The sequence below is a fragment of the Homo sapiens genome, chromosome 3 (genome assembly GCF_000001405.40).
Source record: "Homo sapiens chromosome 3, GRCh38.p14 Primary Assembly".
NCBI lineage: Eukaryota > Metazoa > Chordata > Mammalia > Primates > Hominidae > Homo > Homo sapiens.
Window position 1 is genome coordinate 133217163 of NC_000003.12, and position 25427 is coordinate 133242589.

The following is a 25427-nucleotide window of genomic DNA, read 5'->3' on the forward strand; positions in this document are numbered from 1 at the left end:
TCTCTCTGTTGTTAGTGTACAGTGATGTTGAGCATTTTTTCATGAACCTCTGGACCATGGGTATATCCTCTTTTGAGAAATGTCTATTCAGTTTTTTTGCTCATTTTTTAATCTGGTTGTTTTCTTACTATTGAGTTGAGTTCTTTATATATTTTGTATATTAATCCTTTATCATATGCACAGTTTTCAAATACATTTTCCCATTCCATAGATTGTCTCATAACTCTGTTGATTGTTTCTTTTGCTGTATAAAAGCTTGTTTGTTTGATGTAATCTGATTTGTTTATTTTTGCTTTTGTTGCTTGTGCTTTGGGGTCATATCCAAAAAATCATTGACCAAACCAATGTCATGGAGATTTTCCCATATGTCTTCTTCTAGTAGTAGATTTACAGTTTCAGTCTTATATTTACATCTTTAATCTATTTGGAATTGAGTTTTATATATTGGTGACATAGTAGTCTAATTTCATTATTTCTGCATGTTGATATTCAATTTTCCCAATGCCATTTATTGAAGAGATTGTCCTTTCCCTGTTAATGTGTTCTTGGCATCTTTGTCAAAAATCAATTGGCCATAAATGCACAGATTTATTTCTGGGCTCTCTGTTCTGTTTCATAGGTCTGTTTTTATGTCAATACCAAACAGTTTTGATTACTATAGTTTTGTGGTGTATTTTGAAGTCAGGTAGTGTGATGCCTCCATATTTGTTCTTTTTGCTCAAGATTACTTTGGCTATTTGGAGTCTTTGTGGTTCATTACCAATTTCAGGATTGTTTTCTCTCTTTCTGTAAAAAATGTCATTGGAATTTTGATAGGAATTGCATTGAATCTGTATATTTCTTTAGTTAGTATGGACATTTTAACATTAATTTTTCCAATCCATGAACATAGGATGTCTTTCCATTTATTTATGTCTTCAATTTCTTTCATTAATAGTTTGTAGTTTTCTGTGTACAGGTCTTCCATCTTCTTGGTTCAATTTATTTCTAAGTATTTTTTTATAACTATTGCAAATGGGATTGTTTTATTGCTCTCTTTAGATAGTTTGTTGTTAGTGTATAGACATGCAACTAATTATGTGTGTTTGTTTCTTGTATTCTGCAACTTTACTGGATTTGTCAGTTTTAACAGTGTTTTGGTGGATTCTTTAAGGTTTTCTATATATAATATTATGTCATCTGCAGACAGAGACATTTAATTTTTTTCTTTCCAGTTTGGATGCCTTTTATTTCTTTCTCTTGCCTAACTGCTTTGGCTAGGACTCTAGTACTATATTGAATAGAAGTGACAGTAATGGCTTCTTTGTCTTGTTCCTGATCTTAAAGGAAAAGCTTTCAATTTTACATTGTTGCATATGTTAGCTGTGGGTTTGTCATATATGGCCTTTGTTGCATTGAGTTACTTTTATTGTATACTTAATTTATTGAGAGTTTTTATTATCATGTTAGGATGTTGAATTTTTTCAAACGGTTTGACTTTTGAAATGATAATGTTATTTTTGTTCTTCATTCTTTAATTAGTAGACTTGTGTATGTTGAAGCATCCTTGCATCTCTGGGATAAATTTCACTTAATCTTGGTGAATAATCCTTTTGATGTGCTGTTGAACTTTGTTTGCAAGCATTTTGTTGAGGATTTTTGTGTCCTATATTCATCAGGGATGCTGACCTATAATTTTCTTTTCCTGTAGTATCCCTGTCTGGCTTGGGTATCAGGGTAAGGCTAGCCTTCTAAAAATGAGTTGTAATTATTCCCTCTTCTTAAGTTTTTTTTGGAAGAGTTTGAGAAGGATTGGTATTAGTTCTTCTTTAAATGTTTGGTAGAGTTAAGTAGTTAAGTCATCAGGCCCTGGGCTTTTCTCTAATGGGAGACTTTTAATTACTGATTCAATTTCCTTACTTGTTACTGGTCTGTTCAGAATTTCTATTTCTTCATGATTCGCTCTTAGTAGGTTGTATGTCTCTAGAAGTTTATCCATTTCTTCTAGATTATTCAATTTGTTGGCATATAATTGTCCACAGTAGTCTGTTATGATCCTTTGTATTTCTGTAGTATTCATTGTAATGTCTTTTCTTTCATTTCTAACTTTGAGTATTCTCTTTTCTTAGTCTAGCTAAAAGTTTGTTGATTACCACCTCTCAGTTTCATTGATCTTTTCTATTGTTTATATGGTCTCTCTGTCATTTATTTATGCTTTGGCCTTTATTATTTCCTTCCTTCTAACTTTGGGCTTAATTTGTTCTTTTATTTCTATTTTGTTGATGTATGATGTTAGTTTATTTATTTGAAATATTCTTTTTTGATGTAGGCTTTTATTGCTGTAAATTTTCCTCTTAGAACCGCTTTTGTTTTGCATCCTTCAAGCTTTGGTGTAGTATGTGCTTATTTTCATTTGTCTCAAGATAATTTTTATTCTTCCATTTAATTTATTCTTTGGTTGCTCAGGGGCATGTTGTTTAATTTCTAAGTGTTTGTGAATTTTCTGAAATTCCTCCTGTTATTGACTTTTAGTATTATACTATTGTGGTTGGAAAATATATTTCATGTGATTTAGACCTTCTTAAACTTAAGACTTGTGTTATATATAGTCTATCCTGGAAAATGTTTTATGTGTGCTTGAGAAGAATGTGTATTCTGCTGCTCTTAGGTGGAATGTTCTATATATGTCTGTACCATTTGCTCTAAAATGTAGTTTAAGTCAATGTTTCTTTCTTAATCTTCTGTCTGGATATCCATCCATTGTTGAAAGTGGAGCCTTGAAGTCCCCTGCTATTATTAAGAGTCTATCCTTTCAGATCTATTAATATTTTTTATGTATGTAGGTGCTCCAATGTTGGATGCATATGTATTTATAATTGTTATATCCTCTTGATGAATTGAACCTTTCATCCTTATATAATGATGTTTTTTGTTTCTTCGGTTTTTTTTTTTTTTACGGTTTTTGACTAAAAGTCTTTTTTATCCGATAAAAGTATAGTTACCCTGCTCTCTTTTTATTTCTGTTTGCATGGATTATTTTTCCATCCCTTCACTTTCATTTTGTATGTGTCCTTAAAGGTGAAATGAGTCTCTTGTAGGCAGTATATAGTTGAGTCTTTTTTATTATTATTCATCCAGTCATTTTTTTTTTAAGAGATGAAGTCTCACTGCGTTGACCAGGCTGGAGTGCAGCAGCATGATCATAGCTTATTGTAGTCTCAAACTCCTGGGCTCAAGTGATCCTCCTGCCTCAGCCTCCTGACTAGCTAGGACTACAGGTGTGCACCACCATGCCCAGCTTATGTTTCTTGATTTGATAATGTAATCCATTTATAATCAAGGTAATTATTGATAAGGACTTTTTAGAAGGAGTTTATTCATTTATTCTACGTTATTCCACTTTTGAATAAAAAATATTCAAATAAATACATTTGAATAAATTTATGTATTTATTTACCTTTACTCTCACACTACTCAACACTTCTGACACCAAATGTGTGAGGGTATTTCCCTACACATGAAGCAATTCTCCCATGGACACCAGCTGAGTATCCTATAATTCAATTTTTAATTCTGACAGTAGCTACCTGGAGGTAGGATTGGATCCTACAGGTTAAGGGCTCAGTCCCACAAGACTGCTCCCTACTTTAGATGTCAATCAGAAGTAGTAGGTTGTCACCTATACTTCTGACCAACTGGCTGTAAATTGGGACCACCACTACCCTCTCCTTGGGTTTGATTAACTTGCTAGAGTGGCTCATAGAGCTCAGAAAGTGCTTTACTTACATGTACCAGTTTATTAATAAATGAAATAATAAAGGATACAGGTGAACAGCCAGATAAAGACATAAATAGTGTAAAGTCTAGAACAGTCCCAAGCATAGGAGCTTCTGTCCCTGTGGAGTTGGGGTATACCACCCTCTCAGCATATGGAAGTGTTTACCAACCAGTAAGCTCTCTAAACCCTGTAGTTCTTGGAGTTTTATGAAGGCTTCATCACATAGGCATGATTGATTAATTAACTCAATTTGTAGCTCCTCTCTTCTCTCTGGAGAATGTAGGATGGGGCTGAAAGCTGCAAGCTATATTCATGGCTTGATTTTTCTGGTGACCAGCCCCCACCCAGGAGCCCACCAAGAATTGCCTCATTAGAAAAAAAGATGCTCCTATCACTGAGGAATTCCAAGGGATTTAGGAACTCTGTGTTGAATGCTCCTATCACTCAGGAAATAACAAAGGTCATAGGGGCTTTGTGTCAGGAACTGGTGCCAAGACCAAATATTAGAACAAAAGATTCTCCTGGCACTCCTATCACTCAGTAAATTATAAGGAGTTTTGTGCAATGACTAGGAGAAGGGTCTAATACATATTTCTTATTATTTTACAGACTTACTACTGTCACTTTGTTAATTGTTTCATGGTTGTTTTGTAGATCCTTTGATCCTTTCTTCCTCTCTTGCTGCCTTCCTTTGTGATCAGGTGTCTTCCTCTAGTGGCATACATTGATTACATTGATTCCTTTTTTTTTTTTTTTTTTTTTTTCACTTTTGTGGCTCCACTATAGTATTTTGCTTTGTGTTTACCATGAGGCTTACATAAAGCAACTTATAAAAGCCTTTTTTCAAGCTGATAACAACTTAACTTTGATTGCAAAATAAACCTTTACAATTTTACTCCACTTCCCTATATTTTAAATTTTTGATGTTACAGTTTACATCTTTTATATTGTGTATCCTTCAACAAATTACCATAGCTCTTATTATTTTAATAGTTTTATATTTTAACCTCCATACTAAAGATAAAGGTGATTTACATACCACCATTATAGTATTAGAGTATTCTGAATTTGACTATGCACTTATTTTTACCAGTAAGTTTTATGCTTTCATATGTTTTCTTGTATTAATTAGTGTTCTTTTAGCTCAGAGAACTCCCTTTAGCAGTTCTTGTAAGACACGCCTGGTGGTGATGAACTCCTTCAGCTTTTGTTTGCCTGGAAAAGTCTTTATCTCTTCTTTATTTCAGAAGGACAGCTTTGCTGGTTTCAGGGGTTTTTTTGGCAATTTTTTTTTCCTTCAGTACTTTGAATATATCATCCCACTCTCTCTTCACCTATAAGGTTTCTGCTGAGAAACTGCAGCCTTTTTGGAACTCCATTTTATGTTATTTGCTTCTTTTCTCTTGCTGCTTTCAGGACCCAACAGTTCAATTATAATATATCATCTGTCTTGTTTCAATTGAATCTTATTGGAAGCCTTTGACCTTCCTGTACCTGGATATTTATGTCTTTTCCCAGATTTGAAAACTTTTCTATTATTTATTTTTAAACTTTGTGTTCCTTTGTCTTTTTCTTAACCCTCCTATAATTCAAATATTTGCTCTTTTGTTGTTGCTCCACTAATCCCATAAGCTCTCTTCATTCCTTTTTATTATTTTTTTCTCCTCTGACTATATATTTTCAAATAACTTGTCTTCAAGTTCACAAATTTTTCTTCTGCTTGACCATTTCTGTTGTTGATGCCTTCTATTGCATTTTTCATTTCTTTCATTGTATTATACTTTTCAGCTCCAGAATTGTCTACTTTGTTTTCTTGTTTTTAAATAATTTCAATTTCTATTAAATTTCTCATTTTGGTCATTTATTATTCTCCTGATTTTGTTGAATTGTTTCTCTGCACTTAACTTCCTTCATACAATTATTTGTACTTTTTTTTTCTCACTCTGTCACCCAGGCTGGAGCATGATTATGGCTCACTACAGCTTGAACTTCCCAGACGCAAGCAATACTTCTACCTCAGCCTCTCAAGAAGCTGGGACCATAGGCACACATCACCATGCCCAGCTAATTTTTAAATTTTTTTTGTAGAAATGGGGTCTTGCCTTGTTGCCCAGGCTGGTTATACAATTATTTGAATTCTTTGTTAGGCAGTTTATAAGTCTCTGTTTCTTTAGGGTTGGTCACTGGTGCATAATTTTATTCTTTGGTGGTGTCATGTTTCTTTGATTGTTCCTCATCCTTGTTGCCATGTGTTGGTGTCTGTGCGTTTGAAGAAATAGGGACTTATTCCAGTATTTGCAGACTTGCTTTGTTTGGGAAAGCCCTTTTTCAGTCAACCTGTCCAGAGATTCTGAGCAGGTCGTCTGATGTTGTCCATTAGCAGGCATGCTGTTGGAGTCTTCGGGCAGCCTGGCTTCATATCTCGGTCAGCAGGTGGTCAGCCTGGTACCCGAGTGTATGGAATTGAACCTGGAGCTTAAAACTACTGTAGTAGACCTGTTATTGGGTCTATAGGCATGGGCCTGGAGCATGGGTTGCAAGGGTGGGTTGTTTTTCCTTTATGCAGTGCTTTTGGATGTAACTCTGTACTTTCTTAGGATTTCATCCCCCAAATTGTTATCCTCGTAAATTATTCTCTGAGGGACCAGACTGATGTGATTAATATTTTCTATTATATGGTTGAAAGAGGCTTCTGATGGAATCTAACTGTGGCTTGCCATCTATCCAAAGCAGCGCAATTGACCCAAGAGATTCAGCTGAGAAACCATCATTAGAATAGTAAGTTAGTTCAGTAAGGTCACAAAATTAATGTCAGTCATTTTTATATAGAGGCAATTAGGAAATATAATGGAAACAGAAATTCTATCACTGTGAAAAAATAAATATAAAATGTCTAAAAGCTATAAAACTTGACAGGACTGTAGAACTTAAAGAAAAACACTGAAGCTCTACAAGAAGACCTAATTAAGATTAATTTTTAATAAATAGCCAAATGGTGCTTCTAGTTGGGATAGCCCTGTGTAACCCAGTTGATCCCAAATCTCCTAGATTTATAGGCTCAGTTGTTTTTGATAACTGAATAAGGTGAACCTGTTCCATGTATTATGGGAAGTCTGTCACTTTTTCAAAAATCTTTAAGAATTTCCAGAGACTACTGAAGGGCTTATAATCCCCTTGATCAATATATTAAACCACAACTGTTTCTCTCTTCTCTTGTTATTGATCATTTATTTATTCATTCATTCATTGTTTATTTACTAAGCATTTATTGAATGCCTACCACATTCTAAACGCTCCATAGATACCCACTAACCATTGCTGTGGCTCCTAAGGCTGCTGCCTCTGACTGCTTGTGGGTCGCCCTTGACTTGAAACATGGTCTCTTCTCTTTCATTGCCCCTGTCAAGCATCACTAATACAAGGCTGTTTTGTGTCAGACTTTTACTGAGGTTTTGACAATACTGGTTGTGGATGAGCATTGTGGAAAAGGAACACAGATGTAGCATATTGATACAGTTTGGCTGTGTTCCCACCCAAATCTCATCTTAAATTGTAGCTCCTATAATTCCCACATGTTGTGGGAAGGGGGACTCAGTGGAAGATAATTGAATCATGGGGGTGGTTTTCCCTATACTGTTCTCATGGTAGTGAATAAGTGTCATGAGATCCGATGGTTTTATAAGGGGAAATCCCTTTTGCTTGGCTCTTTTCTCTCTTGCCCGCTGCCATGTAAGATGTGCTTTTTGCCTTCCACCATGATTGTGAGTCCTCCCCAGCCGTGTGGAACGTGAGTCCATTAAACGTCTTTTTCTTTATAAATTACCCAGTCTTGGGTATGTCTTTATCAGCAACATGAAAGCAGACTAATACATATATAGTGTATATGTGCATAAAACAAGAAGCAATGAAAAATTAAATATTAGACATCTTAACATTCATGGGGCATCTCCTGTGGGGAATTTCTCACTTTATCCTTCATCCTTAGGTCCCACCTGCTACCATCTTTTGGAGTTGCCTCTCCTGTCTCAATATTTCTTGTGTATCGTCTCCTCAGCCTCTCTAATTTCTAGACCCTTTAACTCCTTTTTCCTAGCCATAGCCTCTGGAAACTCAAACCTCCTAATTTTTTTTTTTTTTTTTTTTGAGTTGGAGTCCTGCTCTGCCGCCTAGGCTGGAGTGCAATGGCGTGCAATCTTGGCTCACTGCAATCTCCACTTCCTGGGTTCAAGCAATTCTCCTGCCTCAGCCTCCTGAGTAGCTGGGACTACAGGTGCGTGCCACCATGCCCGGCTAATTTTTTGTATTTTTAGTAGAGAGAGGGTTTCATCGTGTTAGCCAGGATGGTCTCGATCTCCTGACCTCGTGATCCACCCACCTTGGCCTCCCAAAGTGCTGGGATTACAGGCATAAGCCACCGCGCCCAGCCCCTAATTAATTTTTGTGTAATGTAGAGCACTTTATCTTTCTTTTTCTTCCTCATACAAATCACACTGGTGGTGGGGGACGAATTTGCCTAGCCAAAAAAGTCATTGAGCTGTTGTACCCCCCTCCCCCAAAGAAGAACACTTCCCAGCCCCTGAAAGGAATTCTTCTGATTTCCAGAGCAATACGTTTTGGAATACTTATGTTCTTCCTCACCCTAGCTGGATTTTGATGAGATCAAGTCAGTCTCTCCCAAATTAATAAAGCAAATAGAAGGTAATTCTGACTATAATCCCAATGTACCTTTTCTGGATTTTAATAAAGTGATCTTAAAGTCAATTTTGGAGGGGGGTAAAAAAAAAGCAATCTCAAGTAACAAGTCTTTTTAAAAAGAGTAATAATATAGAACTCACTGTACAAGTGGTTTAATTTAAACACTTATTGTTCTAGTTGAAGAATGAGCAAACAGAAAAATATAAAACTTAATACAAAGTCCAGAAACAGATTGTTGATGAAAAAACCAAACTCCATAAAATATTTGAAGAGATTTCTTCTGAGCCAAATGTGAGGACCAAGACCTGCGACACAGTCTCAGGAGGTCCTTAGAACATGTGCCCAAGATGGTTGGGTTACAACCTCGTTTTATAAGTTTTATAAGACATCAGTCAATACATGTGAGGTATACATTGTTTTGGTCTAGAAAGGTGAGACAACTCAAAGCAAGGGCTTACAGGTCATAGGTGTATTCAAAGATTTTCTGGTTGGCAGTTTGTTGAAGGAGTTATTAATATTATTTGAAGACCTGGAATCAATAGAAAGGAGTGTCTGGGTTAAGATAATTGGTGGTGGAAACCAAGATTCTCATTATGCACATAAAATGGCTGCCCTTAGAGGTAATAGATTGCAAATGTTTCCTGTTCAGTCATTTAAAAGGTGCTAGACTCTCAGCTAATCTTTCCAGGATCAGAAAAAGACCTGGAAAGGCAAGGGAATTCTCTGCAGTATGTAAATTTCCTCTACAAGAGATAGCTTTGCAGGACCATTTAAAATATGTCAAAGAAATATATTTTTGGGTAAAATACTTTGATATTTTTCAGGGCCTGCTATCTGTCATGTGATGCTAAACTAGAGTCAGGTTGGAATTTGGTATCTTGTTACTACAAACAATCTGTTCTGTGAGTTCTAAGATCACTGTTTTAATGTTAATGCTGGTCCGTTTTGCTTCAAATCCAAAGGGAAGAAAGTATAATAAGGCATGTCTGGCCCCCACTTCCCATCATGGCCTGAGCTAGTTTTTCAGGTTTCTTTGGAATTCCCTTGGCTGAGAGGAGGGAGCCATTCAGTCAGTTGGGGTGCTTAGAATTTTATTTTTGGTTTATAATATCTAAGAATAGGAAAATATTTAGAATATAATAAATGAAATAAAAAATACTGGAAGTGTATTAGTTTGTTTTCACACTACTAATAAAGACATACCCGCGACTGGGAAATTTACAAAAGAAAGAGGTTTAATGGACTTACAGTTCCACATGGCTGGGGAGGCCTCACAATCATGGTGGGAGGCAAGGGAGGAGCAAGTCACATCTTATGTGGATGGTGGCAGGCAAAGAGAGAGAGCTTGTGCAGGGAAACTCCCATTTTTAAAACCATCAGATCTTGTGAGATTTATTCACTATCATGAGAACAGCACGGGAAAGACCCACCCCCGTGATTCAATTACCTGCCACCAGGTCCTTCCCACAACATGTGGGAATTCAAGATGAGATTTGGGTGGGGACATGGCCAAACTATATCAGGAAGAAAATATGCGCAAGTATTTATATAATCTTGGACTAAGGAAGGCCTTTCTTTTTTTTTTTTTTTTTTTTTTTGAGACAGAGTCTCGCTGTCGCCCAGGCTGGAGTGCAGTGGCGCAATCTCGGCTCACTGCAGGCTCCGCCCCCTGGGGTTCACGCCATTCTCCTGCCTCAGCCTCCCAAGTAGCTGGGACTACAGGCGCCCACCACCTCGCCCGGCTAATTTTTTGTATTTTTAGTAGAGACGGGGTTTCACCGTGTTAGCCAGGATGGTCTCGATCTCCTGACCTCGTGATCCGCCCGCCTCGGCCTCCCAAAGTGCTGGGATTACAGGCGTGAGCCACCGCGCCCGGCCTAAGGAAGGCCTTTCTAACCATGGTAGAGTGTCTGTGAGGTAGGTAGAATTCTTATTAAAAAAAACACTTGAAAACCTAGAATGTTATATAACATTGATGAGCCTTAAAAACATTATGCTGAGGCCAGGCATGGTGGCTCACACCTGTAATCCCAGCACTTTGGGAGGCTGAGATGGGCAGATCATGAGGTCAGGAGATCAAGACCATCCTGGCCAACATGGTGAAACCCTGTCTCTACTGAAAATACAAAAATTAGCTGGATGTGGTGGTGTGTGCCTATAATCCCAGCTTCTTGGGAGGCTGAGGCACGAGAATCACTTGAACCCAAGTGGTGGAGGTTGCAGTGAGCTGAGATCACGCCACTGCACTCCAGCCTGGCGACAGAGTGAGACTTCGTCTCAAAAAAAAACATAAAATAAAATGAAAACATTATGCTGAGTGGAAGAGCCAGACACATATGATTCTGTTTATATAAAATGTCCAGAATAGCCAAATCCATAGAGACAATAGATTAATGGTTGCCAAAGGAGGGGAAATTGGGGAGTGACTTATAGTAAACATGGTGATTTCATTTTTGAGTGATGAAAACATTCTGGAATTAGGTAGTGGTGATGGTTGGACAACTTTTGAATATATTCCCAATCACTGAATTGTATACCTTAAAGGCTGAATTTTATGTATGAGTTATATCTCAGTAAAAAAAAAAAAATTAAAGATAGATAGATAGTTCTACTTGGGATGTCATGAGAAAACAAAAAACCTGGCATGCTAGTAGAGAATTGTTAAAGAATGTAAATTTTAAAAATTTTATATACAAATGACCAATAAACATAAAATGCAAATTAAAACATTGAGACCGAATATTTGCCTCTCGGCAGAGATGAAATTATTAATTTCTTCCTTGGGTAGAGTGTAGTCTAATGATTATTCTAATATACTAGTATTGGTGAGGAGCAATTTGGTAATATATTTATTTCAAAAAGCCTTAATTTATGTCCTTCCATAATGTGTTTCCATTTCTAGGAATTTATCTTAAAGAAACACATTTGCCATGTAAAATAAAATTGTAAAGTAATAGTAATAACACAAAGCTATTTCTGCTGCTAAGGAGAAAAATTAAATTAAAAATTAAATATAAAATGAAACAGACCAATAGAAGTGCACATTCAAAAGGCTAAAGAGATACACTCTAAAATGTGAGCAGTAATCACCTCTTATTTGTGGGATTATGGATAATATATATTTTCTTGTTTATTTTTATCTGTATTTTCTGTTTACTTTTTCTAAATAATCCATACCAGAAGTATCCTTGTAATCAGAAAATAATAGAAAAGTTATTTAAAATAATACAGTTTCAAGTGTGGCGAAGCTTTCTGGCTTGTTTTTTGTTTGTTTTATTTGGGTGTTTGCTTGTTTTGTGAGCACCTTAGCAGAAATGAGATGAGAAAATAAATTTTTTGTTTCTCCTGTGATTACAGAGATTCATGAGAGATTCATAAAAAGTCTTCAATTCTGAACCCAGATTCTCACTAGCTACCCCTATGAGCTTCCTTCAGTGGGGTGTATAGTTTCAGGGTTCGACCAGTTGATTAGTTGGTAATTTTATAACATACACCATTGTAAATTAAACTGTGGTGTATTTATCCCAAGATTTTTTCTCTTTGAAATTGGGTAAGTTAGGCATTATAACCAAGATCCTATTGAGTGGAGTTATTTCTGATTTTTAAATTATGTTCCTCAGATGTAACAATTTTCTTCTCCCAATTTCCTAGACAGAATCATGAATAAACTGGAGGATAAGCAGGACCAGATGATACCATGAAGAGAAGTTTACAGGCCCTCTATTGCCAACTGTTAAGTAAGTTGACACTGTATTTCTTCTTTCCTAAAATATACTAATGTTATTATTTGCTGGGTACCCACAACTTACTTTTTGGACGGAGACCAGGGTTGGATCGGTGAAAGAGGACAGTAAAGTTTCACTCTGCTTCATCTAGATGAAGTATCAAGCGTTAAGTCATTCTAAGATCTCTGTTTTAATGTTAATGCTGGTCAGTTTTTCCTAAATTCCAAAGGGAAGTTTTAACATCAGTTATAGTTACAACTTGGACATCAGTTATAATTTAAACTCCATTATAATAATTCTAAATTGATGTATTAAGCATAGTTAATTTGGGAATGAGTGTCCAAAAACATTATTGCCTTTAGTTTAGTATTCTTCCAGGATGACCTGCTGTAGATTCCTCATGAAGAGGAAATGGTAGGTTGTATTTTCTGTATTTTAACACATAGAACCTGTTGCCATACAGCCTTTGGCTTAAAATGTTATGCATAGCTATACATGGTTCTCAAATAACAAGTGGTGAAAATGTGACTTCTTGGTTTTGTGGTGGAATAAAGAGTGTTCAATTATGACTTTCTTTTTGCACATCACTCATGTGTTTTGGGTATAGTGCCACAAAGCACCAATTGCCATGTAGTGATTGTACTTTCTTTGGGATTAGAATTGCTACTGAATGAATGTAAAAGCCAAAACCAATTGGTGGGTTTGATGTTCCAGTTAACCCACTTAAGACAATAGGCATTACCCGCTCCAGGTCAAACCAAAGCCAGTGAGTTGGAAAATTGGGAGTTATTGTTTGTCTTGTTCTTGCTAAGGTAAATGAAGTACCTATCTTTCCTAGGCTGAGTGGCTCCTTGTTAACTTTTGTTGAGAGAATAAAATGAAAAGATATTGAGATGCAAATCACCAGTCAGTCAGCCCTTAGAATTTAGTAATTCAGCTTATGTTGTACCCCCAGTGCAAAGCACTTCATCTACAGACAGCATTCTGGCCGGGCGTTTTAATTGACTCATTTCTTCTGCTGAATTCTAATCCCTAAAACACATATCACGTCAGCCTGTTTCAGCCTGGTGGAAAGTCGCCAAGTGTTATAGGGACTTTCTCATGTTCCTTTTCCATGTGTTCTATGGGACTGCCAGTTTGTTGCTTTTTAAAAAATGATAAGCTTGTTTGTTAAAGAATAGGCTTTAAAGATTAAAGAAGCAATGTCATCAAGGAATGATTAACTCTGCCTTGATGGGAGAGGAGACATATGAAGGATAAATAGGATTTTACATACACACATACACACATACCCCTCAGAGAAGGGTAGGAAGGCTTTGTAGCCAGAAAAACAGGAAATAAAGAACAACAGAGTAGATTTTGGAACAGCAAAATGTTTGTTGAGTTCACCTATGCCGATTGTATGCCCCAAAGTTTGCATAATATTTTAGGGTCGTATGTTATTTGAAAGGCATCAGTAAATTATCCTGCAGTCCAGAGAGACAAGACTTATCCTATGACGAGGTCCATCCTCTTATATTGAGCAACTCTGAATGCTGAAGGGGGTTCAAACATCATCTGGCTAGCTACAGAAAACGACTGTGTCTTAACACCTTGCTGTTTGCAAAGCTTGCTGGGAAATGCAAACAGTCCAGAATATGTAGTTTCCTGCTGGTTAGGAGGTAGGTAGTGGCCCTCACTAAACCACCCTGATTACTGACATGCATATACACACAATAGCTCCTATATGTCACTGGTCAGCCAGTTATTAAGTTATGTGTATGTTAACATTGTCCACAAACAGAATGTTTTTAAGACATTTAGTCTGTGTCTAAAATAGACTTGAGAACTAGCATCAACACACACAATATGTTATTTTATATAACTCATATATTTTATATAACTCATGATAAAAATATATATATTTTTAATTTGGATAAAAAATCATGATTGAGTATTCTGGTTTTTCATTATTACATAACAAACTAGTCTAAAACCTTGTGGCTTAAAGCAAATAACAGTTATTTATTTCGTTCATGAATCTGTAATTTGAGCAGGGCTTAGCAGAACCTACTGTCTCCACTGCAGAGTGTTTGGGACCTAGGCTGGAATGACTCTAATGGCTGAGGGCTCCCTGAGGTCATCTCACATGGAAAGTTTGGGCTCCCCCACAACATGGTGGCTTCAGATTGGTCAGAATTCTTATAAGGCAGCTACCAGTATGAGGCTTGGGCAAGGCTTAGAAGATTTATTATGAATTAATCTTGAAAGTCCCAGAATAATACGCATGCCACATTGTACTATCTGAGGAAGTAAGACCAACAGTAACTCAGGGGAAGAGGAATTAGGCTTCACTTCTCAAAGAAAAGAGGAGCAACAGCTTATAACAGTTATCTTTAGTCTGCTACAGAGAATATCTATTTGTTTAAAAAAACAAAAACAATTACTAGTGGACATTAGCCAGTTCATAAGTCATTATTAATATAGAAGCTATACCCTCCTTTGTGCCTACTATGTTCACAAGGATTTGCTGACAGTTTACCTAAGTCTCCTCAATTATTCCAGAGGCAGATGCTTCAAGATGAAGAAGCATTACAGATGGATAAGCAAGGACTGGCCCAGGGTGCTCAGTGAGTTCAGTTCACAGCCATGTCTCTCTGACCCCTGCATATGTGCCCTTTTCTTCATTCTGCCATGGTGCCCTACCACACACAGGAAAAATCAGCAGTGTGGTCCCTCTGCTGCCCTTATAGCTAAGATAGGGAGAGTTCTAGCCCATAAGCAGTAAAGTTTGCATCTTGCGAGTGATGTTAGATGAGTGCTGGGGTTTGGATATCTGATCCCTCCAAGTCTAATGTTGAAATTTTATCCCGTTTTGGAGGTAGGGCTAAATGAGAGGGGTTTGGGTCATGGAGGTGGATCTCTCATTAATAGATTAGTGCTCTCTCTGGGAGAAGGAAAGTGAACAAGTTCTAGCTCTTTTGTTACCTTGAGAGATGCCCCAAGAGCTGGTTGTTTGAAAGAATCTGGCACCTCCCTCTACCTTGCATCCACTCACTCACCATGTGATCTCTGCACATATTGGCTCCCCTTTACCTTCCACCACCAGTGGAAGCAGCTTGAGGCCCTTATCAGATGCAGATGCTGGTGCCGTGCTTCTTGTTTAGCCTGCAGAACTGTGAGCCAAATAAACCTCTTTTCTTTATGAATTACACAGCCTCAGGTATTTCTTTATAGCAACACTAAACAGACTAAGACAGTAAGACCAAAATAAAAAGATGTTCTTTAGATCACTGAATCATAATCAATAGTCACTGAGGCTTGTATGTGCCCAGCTGGGGCTAAGGGATGCAGTCTTTGGCAGGCAATGCTATTGAGGTTTTAATTGTTTACTTTTGTTACAACTGACTATCTCTGCCTTTGTTTTTATTTCCTGAGCTCTACTCAGGAATGTGGTACTGAGTGTTTCATCCCACTGGCTTTAGCCCTTTCAGAAGGTTTAACACATTTTACATGATATCTTGGAAAAGCTGAAAGCTTGAGTATGAGGGTGGTGATGAGAGCCTTTATGGTTATATAAAAACCAGATACTGTCATTCATTTTTCTTTCTGAGACCTAAATAATCAATTAGATGTTAAAGCTAGTCCTAAGAATACTTGTGTTTTTGAGACATCAGACAGGTTCAAATCCTAGGTTTACCACTTTCGTTTTTTTTTTTTTTAATTTTATTATTATTATACTTTAAGTTTTAGGGTACATGTGCACAATGTGCAGGTTAGTTACATATGTATACATGTGCCATGCTGGTGTGCTGCACCCATTAACTCGTCATTTAGCATTAGGTATATCTCCTAAAGCTATCCCTCCCCGCTCCGCCACCCCACAACAGTCCCCAGAGTGTGATGTTCCCCTTCCTGTGTCCACGTGTTCTCATTGTTCAATTCCCACCTATGAGTGAGAATATGCAGTGTTTGGTTTTTTGTTCTTGCAATAGTTTACTGAGAATGATGATTTCCAATTTCATCCATGTCCCTACAAAGGACATAAACTCATCATTTTTTATGGCTGCATAGTATTCCATGGTGTATATGTGCCACATTTTCTTAATCCAGTCTGTCATTGTTGGACATTTGGGTTGGTTCCAAGTCTTTGCTGTTGTGAATAGTGCCACAATAAACATACGTGTGCATGTGTCTTTATGGCAGCATGATTTATAATCCTTTGGGTATATACCCAGTAATGGGATGGCTGGGTCACATGGTATTTCTAGTTCTAGATCCCTGAGGAATTGCCACACTGACTTCCACAATGGTTGAACTAGTTTACAGTCCCACCAACAGTGTAAAAGTGTTCCTATTTCTCCACATCCTCTCCAGCACCTGTTGTTTCCTGACTTTTTAATGATCGCCATTCTACCTGGTGTGAGATGGTATCTCATTGTGGTTTTGATTTGCATTTCTCTGATGGCCAGTGATGATGAGCATTTTTTCATGTGTCTTTTGGCTGCATAAATGTCTTCTTTTGAGAAGTGTCTGTTCATATCCTTTGCCCACTTTTTGATGGGGTTGTTTGTTTTTTTCTTGTAAATTTGTTTGAGTTCACTGTAGATTCTGGATATTAGCCCTTTGTCAGATGAGTAGGTTGTGAAAATTTTCTCCCATTTTGTAGGTTGCCTGTTCACTCTGATGGTAGTTTCTTTTGCTGTGCAGAAGCTCTTTAGTTTATTTAGATCCCATTTGTCAATTTTGGCTTTTGTTGCCATTGCTTTTGGTGTTTTAGACATGAAGTGCTTGCCCATGCCTATGTCCTGAATGGTAATGCCTAGGTTTTCTTCTAGGGTTTTTATGGTTTTAGGTCTAACATTTAAGTCTTTAATCCATCTTGAATTAATTTTTGTATAAGGTGTAAGGAAGGGATCCAGTTTCAGCTTTCTACATATGGCTAGCCAGTTTTCCCAGCACCATTTATTAAATAGGGAATCTCTGAATTTTAGACCAATATCCTTGATGAACATTGATGCAAAAATCCTCAATAAAATACTGGCAAACCAAATCCAGCAGCACATCAAAACGCTTATCCACCATGATCAAGTGGGCTTCATCCCTGGGATGCAAGGCTGTTTCAATATACGCACATCAATAAATGTAATCCAGCATATAAACAGAACCAAAGACAAAAACCACATGATTATCTCAATAGATACAGAAAAGGCCTTTAACAAAATTCAACAACGCTTCATGCTAAAAACTCTCAATAAATTAGGTATTGATGTGACGTATCTCAAAATAATAAGAGCTATCTATGACAAACCCACAGCCAATATCATACTGAATGGGCAAAAACTGGAAGCATTCCCTTTGAAAACTGGCACAAGACAAAGATGCCCTCTCTCACCACTCCTATTCAACATAGTGTTGGAAGTTCTGGTCAGGGCAATTAGGCAGGAGAAGGAAATAAAGGGTATTCAATTAGGAAAAGAGGAAGTCAAATTGTCCCTGTTTGCAGACGACATGATTGTATATCTAGAAAACCCCATTGTCCTCTCAGCCCAAAATCTGCTTAAGCTGATAAGCAACTTCAACAGTCTCAGGATACAAAATCCATATGCAAAAATCACAAGCATTCCTATACGTCAATAACAGACAAATAGAGAGCCAAATCATGAGTGAACTCCCATTCACAATTGCTTCAAAGGGAATAAAATACCTAGGAATCCAACTTACAAGGGATGTGAAGGACCTCTTCAAGGAGAACTACAAACCACTGCTCAATGAAATAAAAGAGGATACAAACAAATGGAAGAACATTCCATGTTCATGGATAGGAAGAATCAATGTCGTGAAAATGGCCATACTGCCCAAGGTAATTTATAGATTCAATGCCATCCCCATCAAGCTACCAATGACTTTCTTCACAGAATTGGAAAAAACTACTTTAAAGTTCATATGGAACCAAAAAAGAGCCTGCATCACCAAGTCAATCCTAAGCCAAAAGAACAAAGCTGGAGGCATCACGCTACCTGACTTCAAACTATACTACAAGGCTGCAGTAACCAAAACAGCATGGTACTAGTACCAAAACAGAGATATAGATCAGTGGAACAGAAGAGAGCCCTCAGAAATAACGCTGCATATCTACAACTATCTGATCTTTGACAAACCTGAGAAAAACAAGCAATGGGGAAAGTTTTACCACTTTCTAGGTGACTTACCTTAGGTAAGTTACTTAAGCCTCTGTGAGCCCTAGATGTAAAATGGGATGTGATCACTCACTACCTGAGGTGGTATTGAATGAGATGACATGCCATATAGAAGTCCTACATAAATGCCAGCTTTCTTACTGGCCTTCCTGCCTGGAAAACATAAGGACAATCTAACCAGGAGCTCTGCTCTAACTAACATTTGTGTGGAACCTTCTGGTTCACAAAGCATTTTCCCATAATTTGGTCCTCACAACAACCTTGTAAGGCAAGTGGGGCATTATTATTGACCCTATTCTACAGAGAAAGGAATTGACATGATCAAGACTGCTTTTGCCAAGCCACATCACAATTTTTTGAAAAAGTTTTTAATAATGGAAGGTAAAGAGCGTCATCACAATCCCTGAAGACCATGCCACTGCTGAGGAGGGTCTGAATCTGAGTCTTGATTTAGCAGATGTGGTGTTTGCTTGGGTACTGTGTACTGGAAAATTGTTATGCTACTTTGTTAAGAAGACTAAGGCAATTATTATTTTATGAGAATATGATGTTTTTACATATCAATATCTATTCAAATCAGAATAGTTTAAATACTTAGAATTAAGCAGTGATTATGTTTTGTAACTTCAGTGTTTGCTATACACCCAGACATTTGAATTTCTTAAATCATGCTCTGTATTGTTACTCTAGTACACCCTGCTAGCTCATTCATGCACCCTTTGCATCTACTGGTCTGTGTCAAATCACACAAAGTAATTTTTTGTTCAACTCAGATAACTGTCTGTAGGTCCCTATCTTAGGAAAAGGAGGGGAAGAAGGAGAAAAAAGAACTACTGGTATGGATTTGGACCCCTACTCTATAGAATTTAGAAGGAAAATACACCCCCTTTTCTGCCATCTTTACCTGGGGCATGGAGATCATGTCTCAGTCTCAGATTTGAATTATATGTATGTATACGCACAAACACACACACACAAATCCATATTACCTGTCTGTAGATTTTTCTGGGCCTAATGAGAAGCTGCTTGGGAGTTCATTTCCACTTGAAACCTATTTTCTGATGGGATGATCTGCTTCTCATGTGATCTCTGGAACTGAGTGGAACCCTTGAAAACACTTTAAAGTGAGAGAACTCTCTTTGGTGCCTTTTCAACTCTAACCATTCCTTCTTGCCTACCAGCTACCCAGTGACTATTCTTTCTTCCAGTTACTTCTTAAACTAGAAGGATCCACATAACTATATCTTTTTCAAGAGACTGACATTTCCCCTCTCTTTTTCTTCTTCCATGCTTATTTTTGTCCCATATTAGACCCAAAGCCCCCAACATGCTACCTTCTCATCTCAGATGTCCTCCTGTGGTCTGTGATCTGAAGTTCTCATGTATTCCATTAAGATGGAAAGCAATTTGACTAAACTAAGTAATACCAAGATGTGCTTACTGGTTAAGGAGAGTTAAGGAGCTCCTCCCTCCTTAGCTGTCAGAGATATTTGCATTTTGAAGTGATTTGGTATTGTTTTAAACAGCATTGAGTACAGTAGTTTAAAGAGGTAAGCTTCCTAGGGTCTGCGCATTTGTCTGTGTCTCTCAGAGTCATGGGTCAGGAATCTGCATATTTCCCTTGCTGGCTCATTTCTTCTTCCTTTTTTTTGTCCAGCTAACACCAGAAATGATCTTCTTATGCTGTATGTACACCTTTGTATTATCACCATCCAACCAGATTTTGCAATCCCAAATACATGAAGCCATCCTTGACTTTCCTCCCACCCTACCCTGGATGCATTTGGATACTAGCAATACTAGCTCCTGTTGAACTTAACACATGAATCCATTCATGTCTCTGCATCCCCATTGTCTCAGCTTTAGAGAACAGCTTTCTATGTTCTTTCTGGACCATTTTAATAGTCCTCTGTTTATTGTCCTATTCTCAGGTCTTCTCCTTCTAATTCATCTTCACATTACTGCCAAATTAGCTGCTTGTCATCTGATAATCTTTCCATGGCTTTGCATTACCAAAAGCAGCAGTTCTCATAATGTGATCCAAGAATCCCTAGGGACCCCTGAGGCTTTTACAAGAAGTCTGTGAGGCCCTTCTTTTTCCAACTATACATATTTATAAAGCCAGATTTTTTTCCATGTACTGTACTTCAACCAAAATAACATATCTCAACAGATTGAATGCAGAAGCTGATAAGAGAACCAGCTGTCTTTCATAAGCCAGACACTAAAGAGATTTACAAAAATATAAAACAATGCCATCCTTCTAATTTTTTGTGTTAGCAAATGCTTTTTCATTAAAAATGCTATTTGTTAAGAGTAATGAGTTTGTCATGAGTTAATATTTTTTGTTTTACAGCTTTAACTTTTAATATAGTAAATACCAATAGATATAACCTATATTTTGAAAAGCTCTTTGGGGAGTCCTCAATAAATTTTAAGAGTATGAAGGGGACATGAGACCAAAATGTTTGAGAACCTCTGACCTAAAGGATAAATCCTAAATTCCTTAGGTTAGTGTTAGAGTCATTAATAGTCTGGTCCCGGACTACCTTTCCAGCCTCATCTCTTATCCCTTCTCCCTTTCATATCCCTCCTCCCTCACTCACACACATACACCACACAATTCTACCCAATAGACAAACACAGTGTGTTCCAGCCATCATAACACATACTCTGTCCACCACAAAATATTTAGCTCTGATTATACATGTGCTTGTTTTCTTTTTGTCTAGCTTCTCAGGCATGGGAATTCTATTTCATCATCCATTCCTTTGTTTCCAGTCTAATCGGGAGCTTGATTCATAATGGGAGTCATACATGTTTGATTTAATTAACATATTTCGTCAAATCTAAGATGCTAGTAGTTTTAAGAGCCACTGTTATTTTATGAACCACTAAAAAAGACAAAACGTTTCTTAAACAATCACACACTATCAATTACATCTTACAATATGGAAACACAAGTATAGATAAAATACAGAATTATTTGGATTGTGGCTAACTGGGAAATGTACTTTCTGAGCCTCTGCCACTAAATTCTCCTTTAGTATCAGGTCTCAGCAAACCCATCTGTAGTTCTAGCTCCCACCCTAGGTGGGCCTCATGGAACAAAAGAATTTCCCTTCAGAAACTAGAGAGAGATTCAAGGAGCTGGGTCATCTCTAGCTGAAGCTGGCTCATGTATTTTGTCTTCATGGCTTGTTTCTCATGATAAATGAGAGGAAATTTTTCCTGTAGTTGAGGAAGGAAAGTTGATATGAATTATAAATGACATAGTATTTAGGTCCAAACAAATTTTGACTCCAAAAATACGTGACCTTTTAGATGTTACAGACAATCATACAGATATTGCCATTCTGTATACATAAGAGTCAGAGTCATTTCCCTAGTGTGAGGAGATGAACGGAACTTCACCATTCTTTATGGGGTCTTCCTTTCCTCCTCCACCTTTCCCAGTGAAGTTGTCTTCCCTTGTGTTTTACACTGCTTGGTCACAGCCTTCATGGACAGTGATTAAGACTGCGTGAGTTCAAGTCCTGGCATACCACAAATTATTTTCCAAATTATTTTCATCCTTTTCCATCCAAAACATACCACTGCTAAATAGGTGCTGGGTTTTGTGTCCCCCACCCCTTACAAATTCATCATTCCTGAGCTATCAAAGACTCATTGCTCTTGAGGAAATAAACAGCATTTAGTGGCGTAGACCAGTTCATCAGCCTGCAGTTCCCTTGTGCTACTAGCAGTGGCTGCAGTAGCAGTAATGACACTTCTGGTCATCAGTTGGCCTTATGGATATTGGAGGGCATCCACTTCATTGACACTAAAATTCAGTATTTTAGACTAGATTAACTTGATTGGCTTTGATTAGTGTTTCCCAAATCTGGCTGTACACTAGAATCACCTCGGGAACTTTTTTTAATAAATCCACTTTCCCAGACCCCGTCCCAGAGCAATTAAATCAGAATCTTTGGGCATGGGGCTGGGGCATCCAGTGATTCTGATGCGCAACCAGGGCTGGGGTCACTAGCTTTGATCTCTGGTTCTTAAACTTTAGTGCACAACAGAATCACCTTAAGGGCTTATTTAAACACTGATCACTGGGCCACCCCCAGAGTTTCTCATTCAGTAGATCTGGGGCTGGGCCAAGAATTACATGTCTAAGTCTCTAGTAGTGCTGAAGCTTTGGTCCAGAGACCTTGAGAATCGCTATTGTAGACTTATGAAGGGCTATCCAGGAGCAGGAGACGCTTTTAGCTTCCCTACCTCACTTGGGCTACATGATGGAGAAGTGAGTTCTGGAATAAAACCAGGATCAGTTAGGAAGGAGAATGGAGAGAAGGTGACAGAGAAGGAGCTAGCAGAATTCCTCTCAAGTGTTGTGGGATTAGGAACTGTTAGAACTTGAAGTTTCATGTTATTCTTCAGGATGTACTGGAAGTTAGTTTTTACTCTGTTTTAAGAATGAGAAGGGCACAAGGAATGGGCTGGCTAGGGTTATAAAGCAAAAGGAAAACACCTTTTGAGTAACTCTTGGTCTTGACTGCTTATTGCAGCTGTCTCATTTTAGAACTTGATTTTATAAGACTTTTTTTCTTATGCTGTGTAATTCTTTTGCAAATCAAAAATTAGAGGCTGTTTTTGGGGGGCTTGATTATGAAGAGATTTGCAAAAGTTCTCTAGGGAGAATAGATCTCTTTACTTCTGAGGGGTAAGTCATTCACATAGAAAATTTGAGGAAGTGACTCTTTCCAAGATGATATTAACCCAGAAAGTTTAGGCATACCAGGTCCTTGAAAGTGTCATGTTGATTTAATGTCTTATGTTTTAGGTAGTGATTTTAAATTTGCATAAGTCAACAATTCTCTTCTGCAGATAAAACAAAAGTTTAATAAGACATTCTCATTGTAAACAATGCCAATGGGGACTAAGAAAAAATATTTTAAAGAAATTCAATTTTATGAATTTAAGTACATTCCATTACACTGTTGGCAGAAGAATGTAGGTGAGGGAAGTAGTGCTCATACTTAGGAGAGCTGTTGATTTATGTAAATTCAAATGTTAACCCTTAATGAGTAAACCCAATTTTCTATAGGAAAGTATTTTTGCTAAAATATATGGTGGGAGAAAGCATAGAATTTCAAGCTCTCATGTTGTCTCTTACTAGCTATATGACTGCACAGAGTGCTTCAGCTCCCAGAGCTCCCTCATTGTCCTCAACTACAATGCACAGGTGACCAGTATATTGTCTACCTTAGGGATTGTTGTGAGAGTTAAATGGGTAGGGTATAAAAACATTTCATGTGTTGAAAATCCCTTTCAAACATGGGTTTGCTGTATTACTATCATTAAATAACATTACTTTTGTTGTAATATTGTAAGCAAATCTTATTTTTGTTTGGCAAATCTTATTTAAAAAAAAAAGAAAAAGAAATGTGAAAGGTAGTCTAGATGTCCTCACCCAGATTTGAATTCAGTAGAATGCTCATTAATACACATAAACCTCATGAATTGGGGCTATTTTTAACCAACAGAGAACTGTCGTCTTTGTTAAAATCTGGTATAATTCTGGGAGATTTTTCTGAAGAAGGAAAATTCAAACAGAATATTTTAAATGAAAAAAGAGTTTTTTCCAGCAGTTTCATATTGTCTTTGTAATAAATATCTGAAACATTTTTGAAACACTTAATCATTGCCTTTATATATGTGATGGACACTGGAGATTCTTCAAGCTAGAACCCCAAAAGCCCCCCAAACCTAAGATACATTGCCTTTGCAGCATCTTCTTTCTTTTCTCCCTCTCCTGTTCATCCATTTCCGTTCCCTTCCTTTGGGTCATTTGCATCACCAAGCTTTCTCATCTCTTTGCTCCTCCCCTCAGAAGTTTTCTAGCCTTTCTGCTCAAGGGAATCAATTATCTGCTGCAAGCATCCTAGCAGCTCCTTGAAGATAAATCATTTGCCTTTGTTCCGACTGTACCAGGATATCACTCAGCTATGAGCTGTGGGCAGCCGCATTGCTCATGTCCTCCAGAGCATCTTCATCAGTTTCCCTGTCTGTAAAATGAGTGTTTGTATTAGTTTCCTGTGGCTTTTTTTTTTTTTTTTTTTTTTTGAGACAGAATTTCGCTCTTTTTGTCCAGGCTGGAGTACAATGGCATGATCTTGGTGCACTGCAACCTCTGTCTCCCAGGTTCAAGTGATTCTCCTGGTCAGCCTCCCAAGTAGCTGGGATTACAGGTGCACGCCACCACGCCCAGCTAATTTTGCATTTTTAGTAGAGACAGAGTTTTACCATGTTGGCCAAGCTGGTCTCAAACTCCTGACCTTCGGTAATCCACCTGCCACAGCCTCCCAAAGTGCTGGGATTATAGGCATGAGCCACCACCCCCGGCCTCCTGTGGCTTCTACAACAAATTACCACAAACTTTGTGGCTTAAAATAGTAGAATTTTTTTTCACAGTTTTGGAGGCCAAAAGTCCAAAATCAGGGTGTTGAGGGGAGGCCACACTCTCTCTGAAGGCTCTAAGGCTCCAATCTCTGCCTCCGTTTTACATGGCCTTCTCCTCTTTTCCATGTATCTCTCCTCTGTCATTGGATTTAAGGCACACTTGGATAATCTATCATAAGCTCATCCCAAGATGCTTAATTATATCTGCAAAGACCATTTTTCCCAGTAAGATCATATTCAGAGGTTTCAGGGTTAAGATGTGGATATGTCCTTTGGGAGACCACCATTCAATCAACTACACTGTGATACTGCTATTCTGCATAGAGTTATTAATATATGACACACTTAGCATAGTGCCGAGTTCAGAAAAGGTGCTCAGTAAGTGGAGGGTACAGGCCAAGAAGTAAGTAGAAGGTGAAGAGATGGAACCATGAGTTTATACAGTTTTTTGGAGAAGTTTAACCATAAAGTGAGAGCAAGAGAAGGCTACAACTGGCAGGGATAGAGAGCTGAGTGTTTTAAAAACCAATGTGTTGAGCTGGTCTAAAAGCTCCCGGGAAGGGTGTGTGGGGACTGAGTGCTATAGGCATGTGAGCTTCAGATGAGGTGAGATGCACACTG

The 25427-nt window shown here is 37.7% G+C and overlaps 1 protein-coding gene across 3 annotated transcripts in view; it reads left to right on the plus strand.

Moving 5' to 3' along the window:
- The window catches only part of TMEM108 (transmembrane protein 108), a 359385-nt gene that overhangs the window by 178772 nt on the left and 155186 nt on the right, over positions 1-25427 (plus strand). For 2 of the 3 annotated variants that reach the window (NM_023943.4, NM_001282865.2), the window contains one exon: positions 12104-12189. In NM_023943.4, the coding sequence (NP_076432.1) occupies positions 12150-12189 (40 nt within the window). In that variant the 5' untranslated portion in view covers positions 12104-12149. The remainder of the gene's footprint in view (positions 1-12103; positions 12190-25427) is intronic. The other variant, NM_001136469.3, reaches the window with a different exon arrangement.